Source organism: Homo sapiens, chromosome 16 (genome assembly GCF_000001405.40).
Source record: "Homo sapiens chromosome 16, GRCh38.p14 Primary Assembly".
NCBI lineage: Eukaryota > Metazoa > Chordata > Mammalia > Primates > Hominidae > Homo > Homo sapiens.
Genome location: NC_000016.10, coordinates 2,468,263 through 2,493,349, shown reverse-complemented (window position 1 = coordinate 2,493,349; position 25,087 = coordinate 2,468,263). Strand labels below are relative to the sequence as shown.

Below are 25,087 nucleotides of genomic sequence, written 5' to 3'. Positions count from 1 at the left end.
GGCTAACACAGTGAAACCCTGTCTCTACTAAAAATACAAAAAAACTAGCCGGGCGTGGTTGCGGGAGCCTGTAGTACCAGCTACTCGGGAGGCTGAGGCAGGAGAATGACGTGAACCTGGGAGGCGGAGATTGCAGTGAGCCGAGATTGTGCCACTGCACTCCAGCCCAGGCGACAGAGCAAGACTCTGTCTCAAACAAACAAACAAACAAACAAAAAATTTACCATTTTAGCCATTTTTTATTTATTTATTTTTTTGAGACAGAGTGCCGCACTGTCGTCCAGGCTGGAGTGCAGTGGCGTAATCTCAGCTCACTGCAACCTCCGCCTCCCTGGGTTCAAGCGATTCCCCTGCCTCAGCCTCCCAAGTAGCTGGGATTACAGGCATGTGCCACCACGCCCGGCTAATTTTGTATTTTTAGTAGAGACAGGGATTGTCCATGTTGGTCAGGCTGGTCTCGAACTCCCGACCTCAGGTGATCCGCCCGCCTCAGCCTCCCAAAGTGCTGAGATTAGAAGCGTGAGCCACCGAAGTTGATTTTAATGTATCCCACTGGAAAAACCTTGCCCACAGCAGGACTAGGCCTCAGAAGAAAAGAAACCCTTAAGACCATTGATTGGTTTGCTTCGTCCTGGGAGGGAAGGCAGTGAGGGCTCCCCCTTTCCCTGGTCCTGAAGGTCAGGCCGACAGGTCCACTCACATGCGCACAGCCACGCCTGGGTCACACTGCACAATCTTACACGTGTCGGTCGGTTATCCACAGCTTACATCCCTCCTTCCCTGCTATGGGCCCACTAGCCTCTGGAGGAACTCCAGGCCCATCCTGTTTGGGTGAAAGAACTGGCTCCTTCTTAAGGCAATAAACATGTTTCTAAACAGAACAGGAGCTGGGCAGAGCAGCACCAGCCTCCACTCGGCTGGCCCCAGATTCAGGTTGAATATTAAACTGGAAACAGTAAAAGCTGTGGGTGCACCTTGCGAAGTTCCCTTAGGGAGATGCAGATCCCAAGTTGTGTTTACTGCCGCGAATGGTCCGGCGACGTGCTGGACTCACAGGGACCCCCGAGCCAAGGATGTGTGCAAAAGACCCGAGGGAGCCCTTGGATTCTTTCTTGTTCCCCAAACCCTCACTCAAAAAGAGCGCACGACATTTCTGGGGCTGTGCACACAAGGCAACAACCCACTTAAGGCATCTATAAAAACCAGGTCCAGGCCAGCAAAGGGGCTCACATCTGTAATCCCAGCACTTTGGGAGGCTCAGGCAGGAGGATCACTTCAGCCCAGGAGTTCAAGACCAGCCTGGGCAACATAATGAGACCTCATCTCTACCAAAAATAAAAAAAAATGGCCAGGCCTGGTGGCATGCACCTGTAATCCCAGCTATTTGGGAGGCTGAACGGGGACGACCTTTGGACGCCAAGCCCAGGAGTTCAAGACTAGCCCACACAACATGGCAAAACCCCATCTCTACAAAAAAATACCAAAATTAGCCAGGCGGGCCAAGCACGGTGGCTCATGCCTGTAATCCCAGCACTTTGGGAGGCCGAGGCAGGTGGATCACAGGGTTAGGAGTTTGAGACCAGCCTGGCCAGCAGGTAAAACCCCGTCTCTACTAAAAATACAAAAAATTAGCTGGGTGTGGTGGCACATGCCTGTAGTCCCAGCTACGTGGGAGGCTGAGGCAGGAGAATCGCTTGAACCCGGCAGGCAGAGGTTGCAGTGAGCCAAGATGGAGCCACTGCACTCTAGACTGGACGACAGAGTGAGACTCCATCTCAAAAAAAAAAAAAAAAATTAGCCAGGCGTGGTGGCGCATACCTGTAGTCCCAGCTACTCAGGAGGTTAAGGTGGGAGGATCACCAGAGCCCAGGAGGTCAAGGCTGCAGTGGGACCTGATTGTACCACTGAACTCCATCCAGCCTGGGTGACAGAGCAAGACCCTGTCTGAAAAAAAAAATAAAATGAAAACAAAAATAAAAAATAAATACATAAATAAAAACGAGGTCCAGATTGGTTTCCTTAGGTTAAAAAAAAAGTCTTTCATTACGCTGGTGATATTTGAATGCAAAAATCACAAAAAGTCAAATAGTACCAAAATTAGGGAGTAAAAATGTAGAGTTCTGTTTAAATTACCTCTCTAATCCTACTCCCCTTCCACATACAGATAATCGCTATTCACATTTTGGTATATATCCTGCCAAACCTTTTTCTTGCATTCACAACTGAGTGAGGTTTTCTTTAAACTGGCAACTGAGATGAGGAGGTAAGGGGAGGTGGAAACTGATCAAAAACATAAACTATCCCAGGCTGGAGCACTTATGGGCTTGAGTGCCCACACTCTGGAGGTGAGCTTTCACGGCCGAGTGGCTTTCCCTGTTGTCTATCTGCTGGCTGGCTGCTGCTGTACATCATAAGCCGCACCTGCTCCTACGCAGCAAACAAGGCCTCCTCTGTTCCCTGCAGTCCCCCAACCCCTGACAAAGGTGCAGAGCCGGAGGCGGTGGCCGGGGAGGGAGTGAGAGGGGAGGCAGGGGCTACTGTGGAAACGGGGCAGCTTTGCAGTTAGACAGGCCTGGCCACAAAGTCCAGCTCTGCCACTTGTTTGCTTGAAATGCGGACAAGCCGTGCATCTTCCCTAACCTGCGGTTGCCATGTCTGCAGAGCGGAGCCGATAATAACACCCAACTCCTCACGGGCAACAGTTCCCAAGCAACCCCTGTGGGTTGAGCCTCACTCTGGACTGACAGGGTGGGGTGCAGGTGACATAAGGGTGACACCCCATGAACAGTCTATCCCACTCTCTCTCCGGGTTCAGGCAGCCCAAGGCAGACAGTGCCAGCAGGGCCCTGTGAGGGTGCCTCCTGTGGGGGAAGCCATCTTCCTGTGGCCTCTGGGGTCCGAGCGAATCGCTGCTCGCCATGAACACTGCACTGCCTTCACCTAAAGTGTGCTTCCCCACCAGGCTCCAGTTCCCTGCAGAGGCACGGAGTGAGGTGGCGCTGGTTCTCCGAGGTGGCACCTGTCAGCCCAGCTGCCAGCAGCTCCCTGAGTGTGGAGCAGAGAAGCACTCCTCCTGTCTTTGGTCCTCAGCCTTGGGCCCAGCCTGCAATTCCAGGAAAATAGGAAAAATTCCACCTGACACCCACGAGACTCACAAGAATTACAGACACAGACAGTTTCAGATGGTGGGGGTCCACACCGTGGGTCTGGAGGGTGACAGCTACTTTACTGAGGATCCTCAGGGCACACCTCTCCCAGGAGATGACATTGAGCCAGAGGAGTGAGAAAGAAGCAGCCGGGATTGCTGAGGATGAAGCGCTCCAGACACCAGCAGAGTAGGTGCAAAGGCTGAGGGAGGAACAGGCTGGCTGCGCTACAGGGCGCAGAGGGCAGCACGGACACACCCACAAGCCCCCGTGGATTATATTCCAAGCGCAGTGGGAAACTGGCAAGGGATGGGCTCTAGTCCCTGTTCTGTTGCGGGATTTACTGAGCCTGTTGATAGAAAGCACTCAGCCCAGCCCGGCCGGCCAGGACCGCTCAGCTGCCTGAGGATGCTCTCATCCTTACAGGGTCCCAGGCCAGGTGCTAGAAAGGTGTTCTAGAATGCCTGGGACATCACGGTCCCAGCGGGTCAACACGCAGCCGGTCCTGCAGAGGGAGGTGCAACTGCACGGGCCAGGGGCAGCTCTCTCACAGGCCACCGTCCCCTCCTAATGCCTCTCTCCACAGCCAAGCTGCCCTCCATACCCAGTGCGGCTTCTTTCTCACCCGGGAAGCCTCTCCAGGGACCTACATGGCCTTTCCTCATAAACGCCACGCCTGTTTGAGAGCTCAAGGTACCTGCAGATCAGAAGCAAATGTTTGTATTCATTTGTTCGCTCGTTTATTTATTTATTTATTATTTATTTATTTTTTGAGACAGAGTCTGGCTCTGTCGCCCAAGCTGGAGTGCAGTGGCGCGATCTCGGCTCCCTGCAAACTCCGCCTACCGGGTTCACACCATTCTCCTGCCTCAGCCTCCCGAGTAGCTGGGACTACAGACGCCCACCACCACGCCCGGCTAATTTTTTTGTATTTTTAGTAGAGATGGGATTTCACCATGTTGGCCAGGCTGATCTCGAACTCCTGACCTCGTGATCCGCCCGCCTCAGCCTCCCAAAGTGCTGGGATTACAGGCGTGAGCCATTGGGCCATGCCTCATTCATTCATTTTGAGACAGGGTCTCACTCTGTTCCTGCTCCAAAGCAAATATTTCTTTCTTGTTTTTTTTTTTTTTTGAGAAGGAGTCTCACTCTGTCACCCAAGCTGGAATACAGTGGCACGATCTCGGCACACTGCAACCTCTGCCTCCCGGGTTCAAGTGATTCTTCTGCCTCAGCCTCCCAAGTAGCTGGGACTACAGGCACGCGCCACCACGCTCAGCTAATTTTTTTTTTTTTTTTGTATTTTTAGTAGAGACGGGGTTTCACCGTGTTAGCCAGGATGGTCTCGATCTCCTGACCTCGTGATCCACCCGCCTCGGCCTCCCAAAGTGCTGGGATTACAGGCGTGAGCCACCGCGCCCGGCCAAATATTTCAAAAAAAAAAAAAAAAAGCAGCCAGGTGCGGTGGCTCACACCTGTAATCCTGGCTAACATGGTGAAACCCCATTTCTACTAAATCCAAAAATTAGCTAGGTGTGGTGGCGGGCGCCTGTAGTCCCACCTACTCAGGAGGCTAAGGCAGGAGAGTAGTGTGAACCCGGGAGGCAGAGCTTCCAGTGAGCCGAGATTGCACCACTGCACACTGCACTCCAGCCTGGCGACAGAGCGAGACTCCATCCCACAAAAAAAAAAAAAAAAAAAAAAAAAAAAGCTATGTGCGAATGAGTAATGAGTATAAGCGATTTCTATTTCCCCAAAATGTTATCTTGATATGTCATCTGACGCATGTGACCACCGTGCCCTCTGGCCACAGGGCACAGTTCTGGCTCTACCACATGTGAGGAGGGGCCCTTTAAATGGCTACAGGCTTGCAGACCCCCACCCCGCCACAGCCCCAGCAGCCTTCCCAGGGAGGGCAGTTCCTGCCAGTTGACCAGTGTTCAGCCAGGAACACCCAACAGCAGCCTATGTCCTCACTCCATGGGAGCTCCAAGAAACCCCCAAATCCGTCCCTGGCAGCAAACCCCCTGAAGGCGCCCACAGGAAGAGGAAGGCGGCCAGGGCTGGGAGGCGGGCCGTCTGTCAAGAGTGTGGCACCCTGAGCTAATTTCTAGCCAGGAGGCAGGTGGGAGGTAGCATGGATGTGGGAGGAAGTAGATCCTCACTGGAGAACGGGGCAGGAGGGGCCCCAGCGGGGCAGCTGGCCCCTTCGCTCCAGCAGACAAGCAGCTCACCCCAGCCTCGGGGCGGAACACAACCCCACAGCTGCTGGCTGCTGTTGCTGCTCCATCTCCCTTCATCCTGGGACAGCGAGGACCTCCGAGAGAGGCTCCAGAGGGTCCCTGAGCACAGGCAGGACCCACGCAGGTCTGGGACTTCAGGGCACTCGGCCACTTCTAGTACCAGGGCCCTCCCACGAGTCCTGGAGACACAGGCCACCCCGGCAAGGCTGCCACTAGTAACACCACCTGCCATCCCCAAACACCAAACTCCAACACCAAACTCCAGCACCAAACTCCAGCACCAAACTCCAGCACCAAACTCCAGCACCAAACTCCAACACCAAACTCCAACACCAAACTCCAGCACAAAACTCCAGCACCAAACTCCAGGCCTGACAGCCTGAGTCACGAGGCCTCTGCACGTCTCGCTTCTTCAGAGGGGAATGTGATTTTCCCAAACAACCGGATTTGAAAACAAACTCTCTTTCATGTACAAAGACAGAACACACATTTAGCCTCATTGATGACATTTTAACACGGCCAACACCAACCCCGACACCGTGCCTCCCTTCCTGGGGACCGCTCCTGTCCCAGGTCACAGCAAACGTGAGGAGGCAGCATACGACCGCGGCTCCCTCGTCCTGCAGTTAGTCACATGACAGACCTCCACTGAGGTGCCGCCTCTGTGCCAGGGAGAGGCGGCTTGAGAGAAGGCTGTCAACCACGGCAGCTGGGGAAGTGCTAGGGGAACCCCACGGGCAGGGCTGTGCCTGCTGCTGTGGAAGGGGCGGAAAGGTGTGGAGGCAGCCTGTGGGTGGGGACGGTGCCCCTCAGATGTGGAGGCAAGAGTGGGCGAAGGCGAGCTGGGCGGCCCTGGCAGTGCTGAGGGGCTGGGATGCGCTAAGAGGCGGGTGTCCCCACACGGGGTAGGAGGAAAGTCTAGGCAGGTGACCCGATCAGATCTGCGTTTACAAAAATCCCCCTGGTGGCCCTGGAGGAGGAAGGGTTGGGACAGAGAAGCCAGGGAGAAAGGAAGGCAGAGTCTAGACCGGGAGGGTGGAGAAGATGAGGGGACCCCCAGAGATGGCTCAGGGTTGGATCCCACAGGACCGTGGCCTGACAGTGGCAGTCAGAGCCCAGGCCACTTGGGGATGCTGGAGGCGGGGGCGAGCGACAAACAGAGAATTCCAGCCCAGGGAAGCTCCACTGTGAAGTTTTCAAAGCCAGTTTCGATACAGATGCTTCTTAGGCAAATGCCAGAGCAGCTCAGGCTGGAGGTAGAGCCCTGGGGATGAGGCCCACAGCACAGAAGGCACTCCCACACACTCCCAGATGCCACCAAGGGGCCAACTGCAGCCCCCTGGGCAAGAGGCAGCCCTGTCCCAACGTAGGTCAGTGTTCGCTAGGACTCCAGGTTGAAGAGCTGGGGTTGCAGGCCTGGGCCCCATCCTGCCCTGGCCTGACCACCACACACATCCTGGCCACAAGAACAGCCCCCGTCCCAGCAGCTGACAAGCTATCAAGGACGCGGGGTTCTGTGTGGCTGGACCTCAGTCACGGGCCACAGAACAGGGCATGGGCGTCAGCTGCCGCTCGTCTCACTTCTTCCCATCTGGTCTGAGCAATCCCTCACCATTTCCTGGGAGTGGGACCGGGAATGAAGAGGAAGAGGAAATGAGGCCGGGCCCCATGGGTGGGGAACGCCAACGCCCGCAGCTAGGGACCACAGGAAGGAGGTGCTGTGGCCCCTGCGGGCTTCACGTGATAGGAGATGCAGGCTCCTCTCAGTGGGCTCCCCTGGCGGGATCCAAAACAATCTCGCTCCCCACGGAAGCCCCTGGACCTTGCCAAGTGCTGCGGGGATACAGAGGAAACCTGGTGGTGGGCTAGGGAGACCGGCAGGCCCCACCCGCTCCTGAGCACCGACCCCACCCGCCAGGCAGGGGAGGGCAGCACAGGCATTCCAGCCCGGGCGCGAGATCCGCAAGATCCAGGGATGAGAGCTTTGTTGCCTGCCAGGGAAGCTCGGAGTGCCCGGAAACCCTGGGGCACAGGCAGCAGCGGGCCAGGTGGGAATGGTAGGGACGGTGTGGGGGTGGCTGAGAGGGCCTGGAAGCGTGTCTGGACTCTTTGGAAAAACTCTCATACCACGTTTTCCTCTGCTCTGACGCCAGCACCGCAATCGGCACAGGATCTGCGACCCAGAAGATGCGGGGGTTTCTCCCGGCAGCAAGCAATCCATTCTGCAGCGGGCGCCCGCAGGGTGTCCTCCAATTCAATCCCGACACCGGGAGACATCTACCTGGAGATAGCTCAGATCCCACAAGCCCCCCACGTCTCCAGACACCAGTCAGAAGTCCAGGCCTCTGGAACTTCTCAGCAACCAACTTCAAGTTGGGGTTCCCACAACCCCTGCTTTGGGTTCAATGAATTTGCTGGAGCAGCTCACAGAACTCAGGGAAACACTTACATTCACTAGTTTATTATAAAGGTTGTTACAAAGGACACAGATGAAGAGACCTTTAGGGTGAGGTACGGGAGAGGGACACGGTGCTGCCCTCCAGGCACTCCCTCCTATTCAGCTGTCCAGAAGCTCTCCAAGTCCTGTCTTCTAGGGTTGACATGGAGCCCTTGTTAAGTAGGCATAACTGATTACCCCACTGGCAATCAACTTGACCTTCCACCTCTGGACCTCTCCCCTCCCCGCGGTTGGGGGTGGGGCTGAAAGTTCTAACCCGCTAATCCTGCCTTGGTCTTTCCAGTGACCAGCGCCACCCGGAAGCTATCAGTCAACACCAGCGCACAGAAAGAGCACCACGGAGATTCTGAGGATTTCAGGAGTTGTATGTCACTAAACAAGGACAAAGACCAAATAGATATTTCACAACATCACAGAGGTGCTGGGAGAGTAGGTGGAGGGAGGCTGGAAGAACACACTAGATGGGGCAGGGACTGGGGCCTAAAAGCAGACCTGGAGCGGGGTGTGGATGGCAGGCATGAGGGGAGAGGTGGCCCCAGCATTCAGCCCCAGGGAGGGGATGACGCCTCCTCCGGCTGGGGGACCTTCCTTGCAAGTCCACGCCAAGTCTGATTTCTTCATGAGGGGCCCAGGCCTCCCACCTACGTGCTGGGAAAGGCCAGGGAACACCTCATCCTGTCCTCCAAGAGTCTGCTGGATGCCTCAGAGACACAAATAAATCCCAGGCAGAGGCCCAAAGTGCAGACACTCCTCCTGCCATATAGCCCCACCGCCCTAGGCCTCAGCCCTGGAACAATGGAGCTGGCACAGTGGACCACGACGGAAGAGAGCCACTGGACTTGTCTGTGCACTCAGGTGTACCCGTTCTTTCTGGAACCTTCTCCTGAGTGCCTCCTAGGTGCCTGGCACTGAGCTAGGAAGAGCTGAGAGAGAAATCGGTCACCTGACAGTGAGGTCAGAAAGTGGCTTTGTAGACATGTGTAGAAGCAGAGAGGCCCCGGGGTGGTCGCATGCCCCAGGGAGCTGGATGGGTTCCGGAAGCCCTTCTAGAAGGCGGTTACAGCGTGCTGGGGTTGGCAGGGCAGACTGGGCGTTGGGGTGGCAGGGGGAGGATCTGCACTCAGCAGCAGGGAAATACAAGACTTGCTCTAAGCAGTGGGGGTGGGGAACTGGGTAACAAGGCCTGCTCACCACTCCATCCCGATAGTGACAGGGCACCACCAGAGTACTGGGGTGGAGAGGTGAGATCAAGCTTTTATTCCAGAAAGATCTGTGGTGTGGCAGCCTGGAGGGCATGTGCAGAGGCCACAGCCATCAGAAACATCCACTGGGGGTGGTGAGGTGGGGAGGGGAGGACGGGAGGCTGAGAGGAGAATGACCACCAGGGGTCTGCTGCATGTAGGGTGGCCACCCCCTGGTCCTCCCATGCAGAATGTCAGGGGTGGGAGATGCCTGCACAGGCACATTTTGAGAATGCTCCTCTGGCGATCCCATTCCCCTGACCTGTGCCCCCACTGCCTGGTGAGACCCTCAGCTATAGGACCATGTCTGACCGGGGCTGGATGGTGACAGTGTCACTAACCACGGTGAGCACAGCCGCTGGTCTTCCCCCACACCTCCTTACCTTGCTATCTGCCTTTTACCCCCGGCCCCTGCTCCCAGCCTGCCTTCTTGCTCTGGAAATTGTCTACAGCAAACACACCACTCCCAAGTCTTCATCCTCTCCCGAACGTACCCTTCCTCCTCTGGGCCGAGCAGCAGCCGGGCTCTCCCCATCACCACCCGCCTCCTCTCTCTCCAGCTCAGGGCCTTCCTCTCTGTGCTGCCCTCCCTTGAGGGCCAAGTTCACCGTCCTGGCTGGAAAGCTCCGTGGCCTCTAGAACTTTAAAAGCCTTTACATCTCTACCTTTTTATCCAGTCCCCGGGCATTCCAGAAAACCACTCTACCCACTCCAGAGGCTGCACATTCATACACCTGCCCATACCCTCTCCTAGAGCCCTCAGCGCCCTCCTCCCACTCGGAGCTGTGACTCCCCGCATCCACCAGCCACTCTGGCTTTTCTCTCTTGCCAGCTCAGCCTGGACCGTCTTGCCAAGCCCCAACTCCCGCCCGCCAACCCCACGCTCCTGTCTCAGCCATATGGATAAACTGCACGAGGAAGTGAGCCCGAGGCACGAGAACGGCCGAGGGGAGAGGGAGAAGTCCTGCCGCCTGCTCAGCGGTTTCCAGTGGCCCAGCCCCCGGTGCCACCTGGCATCCTTCGCAGCACTCCTCACCGACACCCTCTCCTCTCCAGCTCACAGCTGCCCCGTCCCACCCACTCTACCCCAAGAAAGGGGGCTTGTCAGGCGTGAGCTTCCCAGCTCTCTGCATTCCCACCACAGACCAAGGCCCCCCCTCAGTCCTGGCTCTCACCTCCTGGGGATCCCAGCTCCCCATCTCTCTCCAAGGCTCCCAGTGCTGTGACAGCAGGCCCCAAACACAGCAAACCACAGGGCCTGAGGCTCCACTCCAGCTCCACCTCTTCTCCGTTTTCCTTCTGAGCCAAGTGGCTGGCAAGAGCAGATGACACCCAGCTTCCGGCCCTCCCGCCGCTGGCCGCGCTGGCCGCCAGATCTCCCAGCTGCCTTGGGCCTCATCCCGCCTGCCTCCCTGCCAGGCATCCCCTCACCTCTCCGCGGCTGCTCCTCCACCGCCCGTGCCTGTCTCTCCAATGGAGCCCACCCTCTCCTGAGCCTAGAATCCTTCTTTGAGGTCCAGACCTGTCCCTCCAGCTGCTTCCCAGGTGTCTCCGGTACAGTCACAACATTCACACTCCATGTGACTCCAGCGCAATTCAGCTCCCACTCCCAGCCTCCTGCCCACTCAGGGCTTCACCCGGTCACCGTTCTCCACCCGAAACCCTCTCCTGGTGTCCCCCGCCCTTCAGGACCCAGCCCCTCCCTGCCCCTCGGACAACAGCTTCCGGAGCCCTGGCCACACAGTGCCAACTGCAGTCCCCACACTACACTGTGGGAATGTCACTGTTCAGAGTGGCAGGAGACACCTGTCCCCTTTCGCTTTCTGCTCAGTCCAATCGCCCCTCCTTCACAGGCCTCCATGGGACCTCTGGGGCAGGGCCAAGGCGTCACAGAGCTCCACGCCTCCTGTCCACATCTGTCCTCACCCTTGCCCAGCACACCCACCATCGTGGTGCTGGCTTATCCACCCAGCCCTGCTACCACACCGTGACTTCTGCACCCAAGCGTCTCACACTATGTCCAGTGTACCCTGGGAAGGAGGGAACAGAGAAGAAAACAGGCAGAGACTCAGAGAAATCGCAAACCACTTGGGCCCAAGACAAATTTAATTTTGAAGGCCAAATAACAACAGGGAGCATTACTAGTCCACCCACCCTAGGTGTGACCTTTCCTGCAGGCATCTTCACATAACAGGAAGGTAAGGGGTGCCTGCCTCAGCCTGAAGCAGAGCACAGGCATCTTTCAAATATTAATGGTGACCGACATGCCACAGTGACTACCAAGTAGCTGCTGACTGGGGAACTTGATAGTGGGCTCTTTGCCGGAGGCACACAATGGAGGGCACATGCCAGGTACAGAAGGGGTATGACCATTAATGAGGTGTTAGTCACCACACCATGGGCCGGTTGGCCCGCCTGCCTGTGATGGTTGGAAGTGCAAACGTGCCTAACTGTGGCTGCTGAGCCTGCTGCTCGGAGCCTGAGCAGGGGCAGGCTGAGCCTCAACCTTGGCCAGCCACCCTTTCATAGCCAGACATCTTTCTTTCCCCAGCCTAGTCCGGTCCACCCAAAGGCAGGGGCTGGAGCTGGCACAGGACTCTGCTAATTCAGGATCTTTATCATCTGAGCCCAAAGGTTCTCCCCACAGCAGGTCTGGAAAAACACCCCCAGGACACAGGAGGAGAACCAGAGGAAGAGAGCTCAGCTGTCAGCAGCACAGGCATTTTGATTGGTCTGAGTTCCAAGCCAGTGACAGGTGTGCCTTGGAAGGCCAGGCACACATCAGGTTCTCAGCAAGTGTCTTTAGACCTAAGGAGAGATCCAGCTCGAGGTGGAGTTGTGCATGTTTAATCATTTTATTTTTATTTACTTTTTATGTCTGGTAGAGACAAAGTCTCACTATGCTGCCCAGGCTGGTCTCAAACTCCTGGCCTCAAGCAATCTTCCCACCTTGCCTTCTCAAAGTGTTGGGATTACAAGCGTGAGCCACCACGCCCGGTCCTAATCATTTTAATAGGCATTCAAGACATGCTTCCCGAATGCCAGTGTGCCAGGTACCTGAGTGCAGAGGAGTACAGAGGCATGGCCCCACCCCAGCCCGGGTCAGGTGTACTGACGATGCCAATTCAAGGTGCAGGTGCTGTGACACGGTGCTTTCCCAGCGCCAAGGCCTGCCTCGGCTGGATCTTGCAGTGTGAGGAAGCCTTAGCCTCAGAAGGGATAGAGACAGCGTGGTCAAAGGACAGGGCCCCAGAGGGCAAGTCTGGTCAGAGCTACCCAGCTCCATGAGAACGTGGGCCGGTGAGTGTCCTTTGGGGCTCTGACTAAGACACTTCTACGCTTCAGCATAACAGGCACCAAGAAGCCAAAGGGCCCAAAACAGAGGCCTGGGATTTACTAGGCTGCCAGGAAAGGACAGTGCCCCTGAGTGCTGGGAACATGGAGAGGACAGCCCAGGAAGCCGCCAGAGCAGAAAAGTTAATGTCCACACCTCGATCCTAAGGCCACAGGTTTACCAAGGTAGCAAGGCTAGAAGGACCCTTGCCGGGAAAGGGATCACAGAGGGTAATTAGGGAAGGGGTGGAAATGATTCAAGGAAAGGCTGAAGGGACCATGTGATGAGCTCCATTTACCATGCCACAGTGAGTGGAAGGGCTTTTACTGGAAACCGAATGGCCCACCAGTAAACAACCTCTCTCGGTGTGTGGCACCCAATTAAAATTATGTAACAATCAGGCAGACACACAGTCTCGGATTGTGGGAAATCTGTATCCTCAGTAGATTCCCAGGTCCCCTGTGGTGTGTTCTCAATGACCTGCAAGAAAAAGGGAACAGGCCGGTGTAGTGGTTCATGCCTGTAATCCCAGCACTTTGGAAGGTTGAGGTGAAATGATCCCTTGAGCCAGGAGTTCAAGACCAGCCTGGGCAACATAGTAAGATACTGTCTCTACAAAAAAATAAAAAATCAGGAAGGTGTGGTGGCAAGAACCTGTAGTCCCAGCCACTCAGAAGGCCGAGGTGGGAGGATGGCTTGAGCCCAGGAGGTTGAGGCTGCAGTGAGCCGTGACTGCACCATCGCACTCCAGCCTGGACAACAGAGCAAGACCCAGTCTCTTAAAAAAAAACAATTAACGACCAGGCACGGTGGCTCACACCTGTAATCTCAGCACTTTAGGAGGCCGAGGCAGGCGGATCATGAGGTCGGGAGTTCGAGAGCAGCCAGGCCAACATGGTGAAACCCCGTCTCTACTGAAAATACAAAATTAACTGGGCATGGTGGCACACGCCTGTAATCCCAACTACTAGGGAGGATGAGGCAGAAGAATCGCTTGAACCCGGGAGGCGGAGGTTGTGGTGAGCCAAGATTGCACCACTGCACTCCAGCCTGGGCAACAAGAGCAAAACTCCATCTCAAAAGAAAAAAAAAACAATTAACAAAAAGAGAAAAGAAAAAAAGAAGGGAACACACTGGGGAGGGTTGCAGGAAGCCATGGCTGCATATGCACAGTCCTCGGAGGCCATGAAGCCTGCGCCCCTGTGAGCAGGTTCTGTTGGAGGGTGTAGATAACAGCTCAAGCCTTATCCAGAGGCTCAGCCAGCCCTGGGGGACCACGTGCTGGCCACGGGCAGATAGGGGCTGCTTCTGCAGCACAGCCTTTCCCCGGCCTCATCCATTCCACCCCTCAGGTGGAGGACTCAGGGGGTGGGGGACGCATCACACACGTGGCCTCTGTTCTCAGCAGACTTTTTCCAAAGTTGTACCTGCTGCCAATGCTGATGGACCACACAGAAACAGGGTCCTGGAAGGAGAGTGAGGTGCCCCTGAGGGCTCTGCAGCCTTGGGTCTCTCGGTCTGAGAAGGCTTTTCTCAGAGCCCTACCTGTGGGAACGTCTGAGACGAGCAACCCTCAGACTGCAGGTGAACTAGGTCCTTTGAGAAGAGCGACACTGAAGCTGGAGGTTCCCCAAAAGGCAAATAGACACGTGAGACAGGAAGGCCACTGCAAGGACACTGGCATCCCCCCCGTCCCATACTCCATCCTTCACTCCAAGAGACAAATTAAAAGGCCAGGCCAGGCACCGTAGCTCATGCCTGTAATCCCAGCCTTTGGGAGGCCAAAGTGGGAGAACTGCTTGAGTCCAGGAATTTGAGACCAGCCTGGGCAACAAAGTGAGACCCCGTCTCTATAAAAAATGCAAAAATTAGCTAGGCATGGTGGTGTGCGCCTATAGTCCCAGCTACTCAGGAGACTAAGGTGGGAAGACTGCTTGAGTCCGAGAGGTCGAGGCTGCAGTGAGCCATGATCTCATGATCCCTCCATTGTACTCTAGCCTCGGCAGTGGGAATGAGACCCTGTCTCGAAAAAAAAAAAAAAAGAAAAAAGTCTATCGTCCCAGCTATTTGGGAAGCTGAGGCAAGGGGATCGCTTGAGTCCAGAAGGTCGAGGCTACAGTGAGCCACTGATCCTGACACTGCACTCCAGACTAGGAGAAAGAGCGAGACCCTGTCTCAACAAAAAAAAAAAGAAAAAAGCCCACTACCCTGCCCCATTCCCCCAAAAGGCAACGGGTTACTGACTGGCCTTCTGTTACCTTACTGACTTTAAGACTGTATTAGGAGTCCACAGGGTTCAGGATTCCGTCTCGTTTTTCTCACTCTGCACATTCTCCTGGGAAGACCCAACCCAGTCCCCAGCTTGGATGGCACACAGCATCCCCAAAATGCTCTCGTCTAGTACACTCTCCTTGGCTCCAGGCCAAAACACATATGCTTACTGCCCAGTCTCGCAGTAACCTCATCGCCATCTCCACACGGTGCCAGCCCGCCCCCTCCCTCCACACTCTGCATGGGGTGTGGCACTGCCCGCTGCTCAATACTGGAACATCCCCTCCTTCCTCCCTGGCTCTTCCCATCCTGCAACCACTTGTCTCAGAGTCTTGCTCTCTTTTTTCTTCTGAAACAGAGTTGACCAGGGTGGAGTGCAGTGGAACAATCATAGCTCACTGCAGCCTGCAACTCCTGGGCTCAAGTGTTCCTCCCGCTTTGGCCTCCCAAAATGCTGGGCTTGCAGGTGTGAGCCCCCGGGCCTGGCTGAGTCTTGCTCTTTTCTGTGCTGATGTCTCTCTGGGTGTGCCATGACAGTCCCTCAACCGGCCTTGGCCTCTTCACCTCCCTGGCCACCTCTGATCAAGTCACTCACAAACCCAAGATCTTCAGAGGCTTCATGCCACTCAGGGTGAATTCAAACTCCCAGGTGGAACTCAAGGCTTTTCCCAGTCTGCTGTCAGCCTAGCTCACTCACTTCACCCCATCTACCCTGGGGCCACCACTGCCCTTCTCCCAAGAGCTGGTGGGCAGGAACCACGCCTGTCACTTTATATCCACTGTCCCTTCGGGGGAAGGCACTTTCCCTCACTTGTTCTTGCCGGTCCTGATCATCCTTCAAAATGAAGCTCAAGTCCATCTCAGAGCCCCACCCCCACCACAATCCAGCTGGATGCCACGCCTTTGCGCCCACAGAAGGCTCTGTCCACCTCTGTGGGAGCTTCTACCATGTGTTTATTCTCCTGTCTCCTCACTGCACTATAAGCTCAAGGGCAGAGACCAAGTCTTAACACCAAATCCACAGAACACACGGCATGGTGCCTCCTATGAAGTGTGAATTCAATAAATGCATTTTTATTGTTTTGTTTTTCAGAGACAGGGTCTCACTCTGTTGCCCTGGCTTGAGTGCAGTGGCACAATCACAGCTCACTGCAGTCTTGAGCTCCCAGGCTCAAGTGATCCTTCTGCCTCAGCTTCCCAAGTAGCTGGGACCACAGGCACATGCCACCATACTTGGCTAATTTTTTATAGAGACGAGACCTCCCTATGTTGCCCAAGGTGGTCTTGAACTCCTGGGCTCATGCGATCCTTCCACCTCAGCCTCCCAAAGTGTTGGGATTGCAGGCGTGAGCCACCGCACCTCGCTTAACAAACACATGTTGAAAGGATACAGAAAATCATTGAATAATGAATTCAAGTTGGTCCTCAGTAAAAAGCCTGAGGTTTTGTTTCTTTGATTTTATCTCCAATTGAAAGGCAATGTTTGAAACAGCCACTGAAATTGCTGCTTTGAGTTGAAAAGGACTTCTTTCTTCCATTTACAGAGTTGTCATAACAGAAAAGGTATGCTCAGACAGGTAAAACATTGAACAGGGTAAATGTTAAGTGCTTTTTTTGTAACCTGCTTCATTGTCCTTATGTACTTTAAACCAGAAACCATCTAAAGGCAAACATTTAATATGTTTTCTGAGCTTGGCTCAATCTGTAGATAATTAAGAGCAACACTGCATGCCCAAGGTCACTCGAGCCTGCTGGACACTCCTGGCAGGTGTGGTCAGCGAGAGCTAGTAAGGCTACCCTACAGGTGACTTCACAGACCCTGGGTGGCCAAATTTATTGTTGTTATGAAAACCTTGCCTAGATTACTTCTGCATCTCGGAAGGTCACCCTCAACCCAGTGGAAAGCCACTGCAATAGTTGACATCTATCACTCCGACAAAAGGACCTTGATCCACTTCAACCATCATGTAGAGAAAACCTCTGGTCCGGCCCTGGCCAGGCTGTGGGGAAGCAAAGATGAACAGCGTGGCTCCCGCCCTCTTCACAGGGAAAGACAGGCTTCTAAGTAGAGCAAGCACTCCCCAATAAGTCCTCCATGTAAAGCCTCTATCTGAGTGTTCAGATTAGATGAGGATCAACCCTCAGAATAAAAGGCGGTGCACGCAGGGGTCACGCCACAGGCTAGGAACAGTAACTGTAAAATCTTCGTAAGATTTTCTGATCTTCTCTAATCTGGATTGGTTTTTTTTCCCAGTGTGTGTTCCTTAAAATGAAAAGAACCTGACTGCTTGTCTTCGCCGCAACTGAGCAAACATTTACAGGTGCCTACTGTGTGCTGAAGACAGAGCCCTGGCCCTCGGGCGGAGGAAACGCCACGTGTGCCATCTACAGGTGCCTACTGTGTGCTGAGGACAGACTGTGAAGACGGAGCCCTGGACCTCGGGTGGAGGAAACGGCCCACGTGCCAAATAATGGGACGGTTCCTTCTGCACACTGCCTGGAAGTCACCTGGTGACTCCAGAGCAAACACAGCAAAACAGGGAAAAATCACCCGCTAGTGCTTCTATCGGCACTGGAAGGGCAGGCTGACGCCCCCTTTCTGGAATAAGCTGCTGGGTAAAGACAGTGACATCGGCTTCACAACCACAGCCACCAACCTAACAGCCCACCTGCACCTCCACACCACCCAGGTGGCTTTTAGACAACCTTTGACCTTTAATATCACCCCCGCAAGCAGTAACCCGGGGGCCACAGCGCGTTTCCCTGCGGGGCACGGCCATCAAAGAAGGCCTGTGGCCAGGCCGCGGGGACTCCCGCCTGGAGGGGGCGGGAACAGGTGCAGCCCAGCCCAGGTGGGGCCGGCTCTCCCCTCCGCTGTGCTGGCTCAGGGCTGGGAGTCCCTGGCTTCCACCTCCCAGGGCCCGAAGGACAGCGGCCGCCTGGCACGGCGCACCCAGAGGGGCCCCCCACTGGACAGGGCCGGGGGCTGGCGGACCCCCAAGCGGGTGGTCGGTGGGGGCGTGTGTCATCCCTGGGCGGGGCGGGGCGGGGCCCGGGGCCGCTGCAGGTCCACAGGGCAGGGCGTATCAGAATCTGTTGCAATCTCACCGAGCCCCCAAGAGGATTTCCGACCCTGCGGAGACGGAAAGCGCCCCAAGGAAACAGTGACACAGTCACTCTTCCAGACGACACCATGCCCTGGGCCGGGCCGCGGGCCAGCGACCGGGCGGGGATCGGGCCTCGCGCCCAGGGGGTCCCGCTCCTGCGCCCCCTCCCGTAGGCCAAGCCGCAGCTGCAGCGCCGGGCGGTGCCGGGCTCTGGAGCCCCCAACCCGCGCGTGGCCGGGGATCCCCGCCTCGAATGGGGCCCGCAGCCCGGCCCCCACGCTCCCGCCCCCAGCACGCGCCGACCGCGGTGACAGCGGGGACCCGGCCCCGCCACCCGCCACCCCGCCGCGCGCCCCCCGCACGCCCCGAGCGCACCCACCTCCGCGCGCCGCTTTCTCCTCAGCCTGCCGCGCCGGCCTTTCTGCGCACGCGCGTGCTCGGCCCCGCCCCCGCCGAGCTGTCGCCCTGTGCCCACCCCGGAGAGCCCGCGGGGCTCCGGCCTGCCCGGCTCTGGGCATGCGCGCTGACGGTCGGCGGCCGCAGCGGCGGAAGCTGGGGCCGGCCGGGAACCGGTCCCGTGCGGAGAGGAGGCAACGGCAGTGCGGTCCCGGGGGGACAAGCCAAGGGGGGCGGGGGGTGGCACGGCCCTGCCGAGGGCATCGGGGGCCCGGACAGCCGCCTGTCGGAGTCGCGGTCCGGCCGGGTCACGCGTGGATCCGGAACCGCGTGGGCACGACGTCCCTTCCCGAGTCGGGGGAGAAGGGCTGGAAGGAGGTTCTGGGACGGGCCCTGAGCTGAGGAGCTGTGGCGCCGAGGGTCAGAGACGCGGCAGAGAGAGGGACGGCCGGACGGAGCCGGCAGACGGGGACACAGGCGGCCAAGAAAGTTACGGGACCCGGCAGCAGACGCCGCGGGGCGCCCGGACGCGGACGCCCAGCCCGCAGGGGCCAAGGCCGCCGCCCTCGTGGGGCTGCAGGAGGCAGGGGACGCCCTGTCCCCCCATGGGGGTCCAAGGCGCCTGCGGTGGCCACAGTCTTTGGGGAGGTCAGTGCGCTCCCTGGCGGGTCGCCGCACAGGTGGGGGTGCATCACAGCGGCCCCGGGGATGATCTGAGATCCCCGAGAGGGCCCGGCATCACGAAGGATTCACAGCCTTCCGGGTATCCCAGTGCCCCTGGGACAGGGCCGACAGCCAGAGGGCGGGAGACCATGGGGTCCTCCGGGTGTGCCATATCATCTGCCTCTGTGCGGGGCGGGCTGTCGCTGCGCCGGTCACATCCCCCCAGGGCCAGACGGGAGGTACCGAGGGAGCTGCCGGCGGGGACGGGGCGGCGGCCCAGGTGGCGACACGCGCGACGCGAGCAAGGACTCCTTGGCAGGCGAAGGCACAGGGTGAACGTGCGCCTAGATGTGGGAGCAGCGGCCGCCCTGCCCAGCCGGCGGGCTCAGGCGGCGCTGCAGCGCCCCCGCCGTTCGCGTCGCTGCAGCCTCCGCAGGCGCCGCGTCCACGCGTCCCTCCAGGGTAGCACGAGGCTTCCGCGGGCGGCGATGAGCCCGGGCCCCCGGCCCCCCGCGCCCCCAGCCGCGGCTCCAGGCCCGCCCCCCAGCAGGAGGTAGCGGCGGCCGGGGAGCAGGCGCGGGCAGCCGCAGGCCGCATCCCCGGCGGGCACCCACAGCGCGCTACTCCCGCGCCGCGCGCGCTCCTCTCCGCTCCGGAACACGGCGAGCACCGCCACCGGGAAGCGTGTCCACGCGCCGCGCGCCTCGCCGCGCGCACCCACCGCCACCTGCACCGCTGCGGGGAGAGCGAGAGGGGGCGGGGTCAGGAAGGGGCGGCCTGCCCGCGGTAGGGGGAGGCACGGGGAGGACACCAGGAGGGCAGTGGGGGCTGAAGGGGCGGGGTCGCTGCCCGTGGAGGACCTGAGGGATGAGGATGGGCCTTGGGGCCCAGCAAGGGTCAAGGCGTTCCAAGGGGAAGCTGGCGGAGGAGGGAAGGTAGGGAGAGGAGGAAGGTGGGAAGGTCCGCGGGAGGCCTGAGGGCACCTACCATAGTCCTTCTTGCAGAACTTCTTTAGGCTGATGCGGTAGCTGCCACGGGCAGGTTTGCAGTGCGAGTCACAGTCTGGGTAGAAGGTGGGAGGCTGGCACAGACTCCCTTTCCCCACCCTCTCCTCCCAGAGCCCCCTCCCCCAAAGTCATGCCAGTCTGGGGCCCTGTCCTGTGTCCACTCACCCTGGGGCTGCACAGGGCTGCTGTCCTCAGTGGGTCCAGGGATAGGGGTCTCTGCAGAGAGGGAGGGAGAATGGCCTGCGATGGAGGGGCAGAGAGATCTGCAGGGCTCGGGGAATAGACGGGACAACAGCAGGGAGCTGGGGTGGCCTTGGCTTGGTGGCTGAGGCGGGGCAGGGTCACTCACTAACACAGGGCGCCACTGGGGAGCGGCTTTGCTGGAAGCCAGGCGCGCAGCGGTTGCAGGTGAGGCCAGTGACGCCATCCTTGCAGGGACACTGGCCTGTGGTCTGGTTGCAGGTCTTGCCAGCAGCACCAACCGGGTGACAGTCGCAGGCTGAGGACAGAGGTGGGAAGGGCCTGGTCAGAAGCCTGTCTGGGGATCTGGGAAGTCAGAGGGTGAGGGCCTGCAGGTGGCCGGTGGTGGCTCACCCCTGCAAGCCCGACGGTCACTCAGGGCACGGCCAGGGTCTCGATAGAAGCCCTCCCGGCAGTAGTGGCAGTGGCGGCCGGCGGTGTTGTGCCGGCAGTTGAGACAGACACCCCCGCTGCGGCGGCCGGACAGTCGGTACAGCTCCATGTTGAAGCGGCAGCGGCGGGCATGGCCGTTGCAGGAGCAAGCTGCAGGGAGGGATGGGTCAGGGGCAGGCTGGTTGTGTCCAAGGTCCCCAGGCCACCCTCCAAGGCCTCACCGAGGCAGGCGTGGGATTCCCGGGCAGTGGCCCGCTGCCATGGCCTGTCGCAGTAGAAGGGCTTGCAGCGGCCGCAGTCAGGGCCCTCGGTGCCATGCCGACAGTCGCAGATCAGGTGGCCCTGTGTGTCCAGCAGGCACCGTGAGGCATGTCCATTGCACTTGCAGCGCCCGCCCACCTGGAGGTCGGTGGCTGCGTAGGAGTAAGGGACGACGGCCTCCATGTCCCTGGGGTCACCTGCCGTGCTAGGCCTTGTGAGCACTACACGGACGTCGGTGGCGGTCACCCAGTCTTGGAGCACTGGGCTGCTGTCCAGGTCCAGGCCTGGGGGGCTGCTGTCCTGCATGCTGAAGGCCAGAAGGCCGCTGCCATCAGGCTGGGCCAGGGGTGCGGGGAAGCACAGGGCCTCAGGCCCTGGGCCAGCTGGGCCATTGGCAGGGGCAGGCAGACGGCCATAGTCCAGGTCACAGTGGGAGGAGAAGAAGCCCAGCGGGGCCCAGCTGCGGCCATGGTCCTGAGACTTGAGCAGGGCCACGGAGGCTGGGGGAGCTGAGCAGAAGCGCAGGCTCACGAAGACCAGCTCAAAAGCCTTGCCCAGGGGCACCGTGAGAGTCACGTTGAGGGGCGCCCGAGGCAGGGACTCCGAGCGCCAGCACAGAGGGCTGGCCGTGCCCCCTGGGGAAGTAAGGAGGGCGGGGGAGTGTGCCCGTCGCGGGTCGGAGGCGTCGCAGGCCCGAGTGGCCGGCCGCCCGCACGTGCTGGAAGCCAGCACCTCGCGGCCCAGGGCGGCGTTCACCAGTCCTGGCACGCAGCCGCGGGGCGCACCCCCCTCATCGTGGCAGGGGTCGGCGGGCGCCGGCGGCCCAGGACTCAGGGCGGCGAAGAGCGTGCCTGCCGTCAGCAGCAGCCCCCAGGGCCAGCCAGGCATGGCCGGAGCCGCTGCGGGTCAGCCAGTGGCCGGGCCCCAAGACGCTGCCCTTGGGGAAAAGAAGCCCTCTCCGCGGCTCTGCCCACCAGGCCCGCAATGCCGAGGAACAGGGCCCCCGGGCGGCCCCAGCCCGGCCCAGAGGTGGGAGCAGCGGCGGGCACGCCCCGGGCCCAGCACAGCAGCGGGGATGTTGGCGCGTCCTCCCGCTGGGCCTAGAGCGATGACAGGCGTCGCCCCCGCTCCCGGTGCCTCCGCCCGCGGAGGCCCCACCCGCCGCTCGCACTCACCCACCGAGGGCCGGGCGGAGCAGGTCTCCCGGCCTCCCGGGAAGGGCCGTGGGCGGGCGGGGCCTGCGGTGCACGGGCCGCCGCCTCCTCCCGGCTGCAGCGAGGGCGGACGAGCTGTGCCAGGAGGGGGTGGGGGGCGCAGCAGGCGCAAGCCCGGGCCCAGCCGGGGGCGGGGCTGCTCGGGTCGGGAAGGAGGCAGGGGAGGGGAGGGGGCCTCATCGCAGAGCTGGAATCAGAAGCAGATTCAGACGCGGGCTGGGCCAGCGGGGAAGGGGGCTGGGAGGCCCGGGAGCCAGGGGAGGGGCCGGGGAGCCAGGAATGCGCTGGCGGGAGGGGTCTGGAGGGGGGCAGCTCAGCCTTCGCAGCCCGTGGGGGACCACCCAGCAGGGTCCTGGGCCCACAGCCAGGTCTTTACTGCTCCTGGGGCTGTGCCACGTGCTGGACGGGGGTCTGGGTCGCCTCCTCCCTGAAGACCATCAGGCAGGCAAGGCCCCGGGTCTGACAGCAGAGGCCCTGGATGTTCCCCAGGTAGGGAAGCCAAGTAACCACCAGTTGAAGGGTCATCCCCAAAGCAGCATCTACTCGAGTAGAAGGAACCCAGGATTCGGTCAGGTCTAATTTTGAATCCAACTGCCCCATTTCTGGCTGCATGTCTTGGGCTCCTGTTTCCTCACCTGCCAGATGCCTGTTACTCAGCACGCGCTCTGAAGCTGTTGGATTTGATGAGTCTCAAGTGGCATCAGGCCCAAGTCGAGAGCTGCACAAATTGGAGTGTCTCCTGCCCATGTTGAGGAAGGGGGGCACCCCCATGGGCCTGAGCTGGGCTAAGACATGAGGCCAGCATCCCCTGCACCAGGCCAGATTCTGATCCCAAAGCTCCCTGGGTCTGCAAGTTTCTAGGGGCACCTCTGCCACGGGCCCAGCTGGCAGGGAGGACATGGAAGCTGGAGGGTGGGATGGGGTGGCTTCTTGGGGTTCGGGGGCTTGGTTAGCTGTTGAGGACCCCTCTGCAGGGGCAGGGAGTAGGGTTTAATCATGGGAAGGGGCTGGTCGCAACCCGGAGCCCACTGCCCTACGTCACAGCACGTTTGGGCAGGGAAACTGAGGCAGAAGCCCAGCTGGGTGGCCTGGGGACTAGCTGGGGATGGGGTAGCTGTGCCTGGGAGCGACACCACCAAAGAGGGTCCAGGAACAGCTCTGGTCAGAGAAACCTCCTCCCCTCCGACTTTCAGGTCCTTGACAGAGGAGGCCAAGCATCCCAGGGAGGGGCAGGGAACAAGTTCCGTGCAGGGCCAGCATCGAGGCCTGAATGCCCCGTTTCAGATGGGAGGCCAGGCCTGCAGCTGGTGGAGGAGGCCACGTGGGTGCTACCCTGGACACGACCAGAGATGAGCAAGGACCAGGAGGAAGAGAATGGAGAGGTAGACGCATCCCGCTGTTGGGGAGAGGAGGGGCAGGAGGACACGGAAGCCTCCTAGGGGAAACTGAAGGACCAGAGGAGGGAGCAGGAGGGCCTGACCATGGAGGGGAGGAACGGGAAGACAGGGTGATAGGGCACCTGGCTTGGCTCCTGGAGCAACTGACACTGGCTGGTGGGCACCTTCTCCTTGCCACACATCTGCATGTGACAGCCACAGATGCACAGGGATGGGGGCACCGGAGGACTGAACAGAGAGGGCTAAGGGGCTCTCTCTCTGCCACAGGGCCCCTGCCCCTCAGCTTCCTGATAAAGAGAATGGGAATTGTGTCCTTTACAAGTTGAGGGACCTCAACCTGACGGGGCTCACGCTCCGCTCTGTGGGTCAAGCTTAGAACCTGAAACGTCCCAACCACCCTCTTCAAGGTCCTTCTGGCTCCCAACCCCCACCCCCCGACACCCCACCCTAAGGGTGGGAGGAACCCTGGGGGGACTATGGGGGCTGAGATCATCATTCTGGGACAGTGGAGAGAAAAGCCCAGGCCTGACAGAGGGGTCCCACTGGCCAGAGACAAGCCTCTGGGGAAACCCAAGCTGTCTCTGGACGTCAGGGCCACTGCCAGACTGGCTGCCAGCCAGGCTGCAAGAGGGACAGTGGCCAGCAGCCTCTTCCACCCTCATCAGAGGGGCTGGCTTTGTCTCCAGCTCAGCTTCCCTGTGAGCCAGGACTGGGGTCTGCAGAACGTCTGGTGGCTTCTGGGGTGGGGGAAAGTAGGTGCCTGGGGCTCAGCCCTGCCCCAATTGTTCATCTGGGTCAGCAGCAGCGGCGGGAGGCCGTGGGCCCAGAGGGCCATTGTACCGCCAGCTCCCCAGGGAGGAGGCCGCTGGTCACAGGGCCTCTCCCCAGGAACAGTCCTCTGCACACGCTACTCTGCCCCCACCCCCAGCCCTCACAGATGGTGTTTGGGAGTTAGGAAGGGCCTCCCCACAGCGCCCAAGCGGGACTTATTGCTCCCCAGGGACCCAGCCACCTGTCCCAGCCCCTGGCTGGGGCCTCTCCCACCTCCCACCTCTCCACTGGCCCTGCCCCCTCCTGGCACCTTCTGCAACAAAGAAGCTCCGCCTCCCCTCCCCCCACCTGCAACTCAGGCCGCAGTGCTTCGCCTCCCCCTCCCCACCCCACCCCTCACCCCTAGAGTGGCAGCTCCAGCTTTGGGGCACAGGCTGGGGAGAGGGCATAGATGGGCTGGACAGTCCTAGGCGGCAGGGAGCTGAGAGTCTTTCCTGTAAGATGCCCGTTGATCCAATAATTCCCTGCCCAGCCCAGAACCTGCTGTCTCCCCCCAGACGCCTGCAAGCCACCACATGTTCACCTATTGCACATTTATCGAGCGCCTATTATGCCTCGGGGGGTTTCCAACCGAGCTCCGAAGGCAGACAGCCCAGGAGCAGACACAGCGCCGGCTCCCAACGGCGGGTGGTGTGGCCGAGCCCGCGTCGCGCTGCCCTGCACCCAGCACCCTCGCGCCGGGTCGATCCCCCAGCCTCGCAGACCGCTGCCCAGCCAGGCCGCTCTGCGGTCGCGCCAGCTCTGCGCGCCAAGTCAAAAGCTGAAATGCGACGTTGGACGGAGGAGGGAAGAGAGGGAAAGCAGAGAGGGAGGGAGGGAAACGGCCGGTGGCCTTCTCTGCCCAAAGGGTTCCAGAAGAAACGATTTGGGGATGGGGTGTGGGGG

The 25,087-nt window shown here is 59.4% G+C and overlaps 2 protein-coding genes across 7 annotated transcripts in view, besides 12 other annotated features; both read right to left on the bottom strand.

Moving 5' to 3' along the window:
* Window positions 1–18,223, bottom strand: part of TBC1D24 (TBC1 domain family member 24) — a 30,604-nt gene extending 12,381 nt beyond the window's left edge. For 4 of the 6 annotated variants that reach the window (NM_001199107.2, XM_017023493.2, NM_020705.3 and 1 more), the window contains exon 1: window positions 18,180–18,223. The gene's annotated coding sequence lies outside the window, so the exon portion shown is untranslated. Of the gene's footprint in view, window positions 1–10,263; window positions 10,332–18,179 lie in introns of those variants that run through there. The other 2 variants (XM_047434388.1, XM_017023494.2) reach the window with 1 other exon arrangement.
* Window positions 9,477–9,976: an enhancer, noted in NCBI's record as "H3K4me1 hESC enhancer chr16:2533375-2533874 (GRCh37/hg19 assembly coordinates)". NCBI's record gives its function as "activates a minimal SCP1, AML or CMV promoter by ChIP-STARR-seq in primed H9 embryonic stem cells {active_cell/tissue: H9 hESC(primed)}" and the evidence as "EXISTENCE:reporter gene assay evidence [ECO:0000049][PMID:30033119]".
* Window positions 9,977–10,478: an enhancer, noted in NCBI's record as "H3K4me1 hESC enhancer chr16:2532873-2533374 (GRCh37/hg19 assembly coordinates)". NCBI's record gives its function as "activates a minimal SCP1, AML or CMV promoter by ChIP-STARR-seq in primed H9 embryonic stem cells {active_cell/tissue: H9 hESC(primed)}" and the evidence as "EXISTENCE:reporter gene assay evidence [ECO:0000049][PMID:30033119]".
* Window positions 17,462–17,661: a silencer, noted in NCBI's record as "silent region_7055". NCBI's record gives its function as "represses an Ori minimal core promoter by ATAC-STARR-seq in GM12878 lymphoblastoid cells {active_cell/tissue: GM12878}" and the evidence as "EXISTENCE:reporter gene assay evidence [ECO:0000049][PMID:35858748]".
* Window positions 18,122–18,611: a silencer, noted in NCBI's record as "silent region_7054". NCBI's record gives its function as "represses an Ori minimal core promoter by ATAC-STARR-seq in GM12878 lymphoblastoid cells {active_cell/tissue: GM12878}" and the evidence as "EXISTENCE:reporter gene assay evidence [ECO:0000049][PMID:35858748]".
* Window positions 19,012–19,281: a silencer, noted in NCBI's record as "silent region_7053". NCBI's record gives its function as "represses an Ori minimal core promoter by ATAC-STARR-seq in GM12878 lymphoblastoid cells {active_cell/tissue: GM12878}" and the evidence as "EXISTENCE:reporter gene assay evidence [ECO:0000049][PMID:35858748]".
* On the bottom strand, window positions 19,205–22,053 carry NTN3 (netrin 3). The gene is made up of 6 exons (NM_006181.3): window positions 20,721–22,053; window positions 20,461–20,649; window positions 20,216–20,365; window positions 20,032–20,082; window positions 19,847–19,921; window positions 19,205–19,594 (listed from the first exon to the last, which is right to left on the bottom strand). The coding sequence occupies exons 1-6, from the start codon at window positions 21,646–21,648 to the stop codon at window positions 19,245–19,247; spliced, it is 1,743 nt and encodes a 580-aa protein (NP_006172.1). The 5' UTR covers window positions 21,649–22,053; the 3' UTR covers window positions 19,205–19,244.
* Window positions 19,342–19,401: a silencer, noted in NCBI's record as "silent region_7052". NCBI's record gives its function as "represses an Ori minimal core promoter by ATAC-STARR-seq in GM12878 lymphoblastoid cells {active_cell/tissue: GM12878}" and the evidence as "EXISTENCE:reporter gene assay evidence [ECO:0000049][PMID:35858748]".
* Window positions 19,472–19,621: a silencer, noted in NCBI's record as "silent region_7051". NCBI's record gives its function as "represses an Ori minimal core promoter by ATAC-STARR-seq in GM12878 lymphoblastoid cells {active_cell/tissue: GM12878}" and the evidence as "EXISTENCE:reporter gene assay evidence [ECO:0000049][PMID:35858748]".
* Window positions 21,776–21,915: a silencer, noted in NCBI's record as "silent region_7050". NCBI's record gives its function as "represses an Ori minimal core promoter by ATAC-STARR-seq in GM12878 lymphoblastoid cells {active_cell/tissue: GM12878}" and the evidence as "EXISTENCE:reporter gene assay evidence [ECO:0000049][PMID:35858748]".
* Window positions 23,849–23,928: an enhancer, noted in NCBI's record as "active region_10269". NCBI's record gives its function as "activates an Ori minimal core promoter by ATAC-STARR-seq in GM12878 lymphoblastoid cells {active_cell/tissue: GM12878}" and the evidence as "EXISTENCE:reporter gene assay evidence [ECO:0000049][PMID:35858748]".
* Window positions 24,089–24,228: an enhancer, noted in NCBI's record as "active region_10268". NCBI's record gives its function as "activates an Ori minimal core promoter by ATAC-STARR-seq in GM12878 lymphoblastoid cells {active_cell/tissue: GM12878}" and the evidence as "EXISTENCE:reporter gene assay evidence [ECO:0000049][PMID:35858748]".
* Window positions 24,089–24,731: a biological region, named in NCBI's record as "H3K27ac-H3K4me1 hESC enhancer GRCh37_chr16:2518620-2519163".
* Window positions 24,188–24,731: an enhancer, noted in NCBI's record as "H3K27ac-H3K4me1 hESC enhancer chr16:2518620-2519163 (GRCh37/hg19 assembly coordinates)". NCBI's record gives its function as "activates a minimal SCP1, AML or CMV promoter by ChIP-STARR-seq in naive H9 embryonic stem cells {active_cell/tissue: H9 hESC(naive)}" and the evidence as "EXISTENCE:reporter gene assay evidence [ECO:0000049][PMID:30033119]".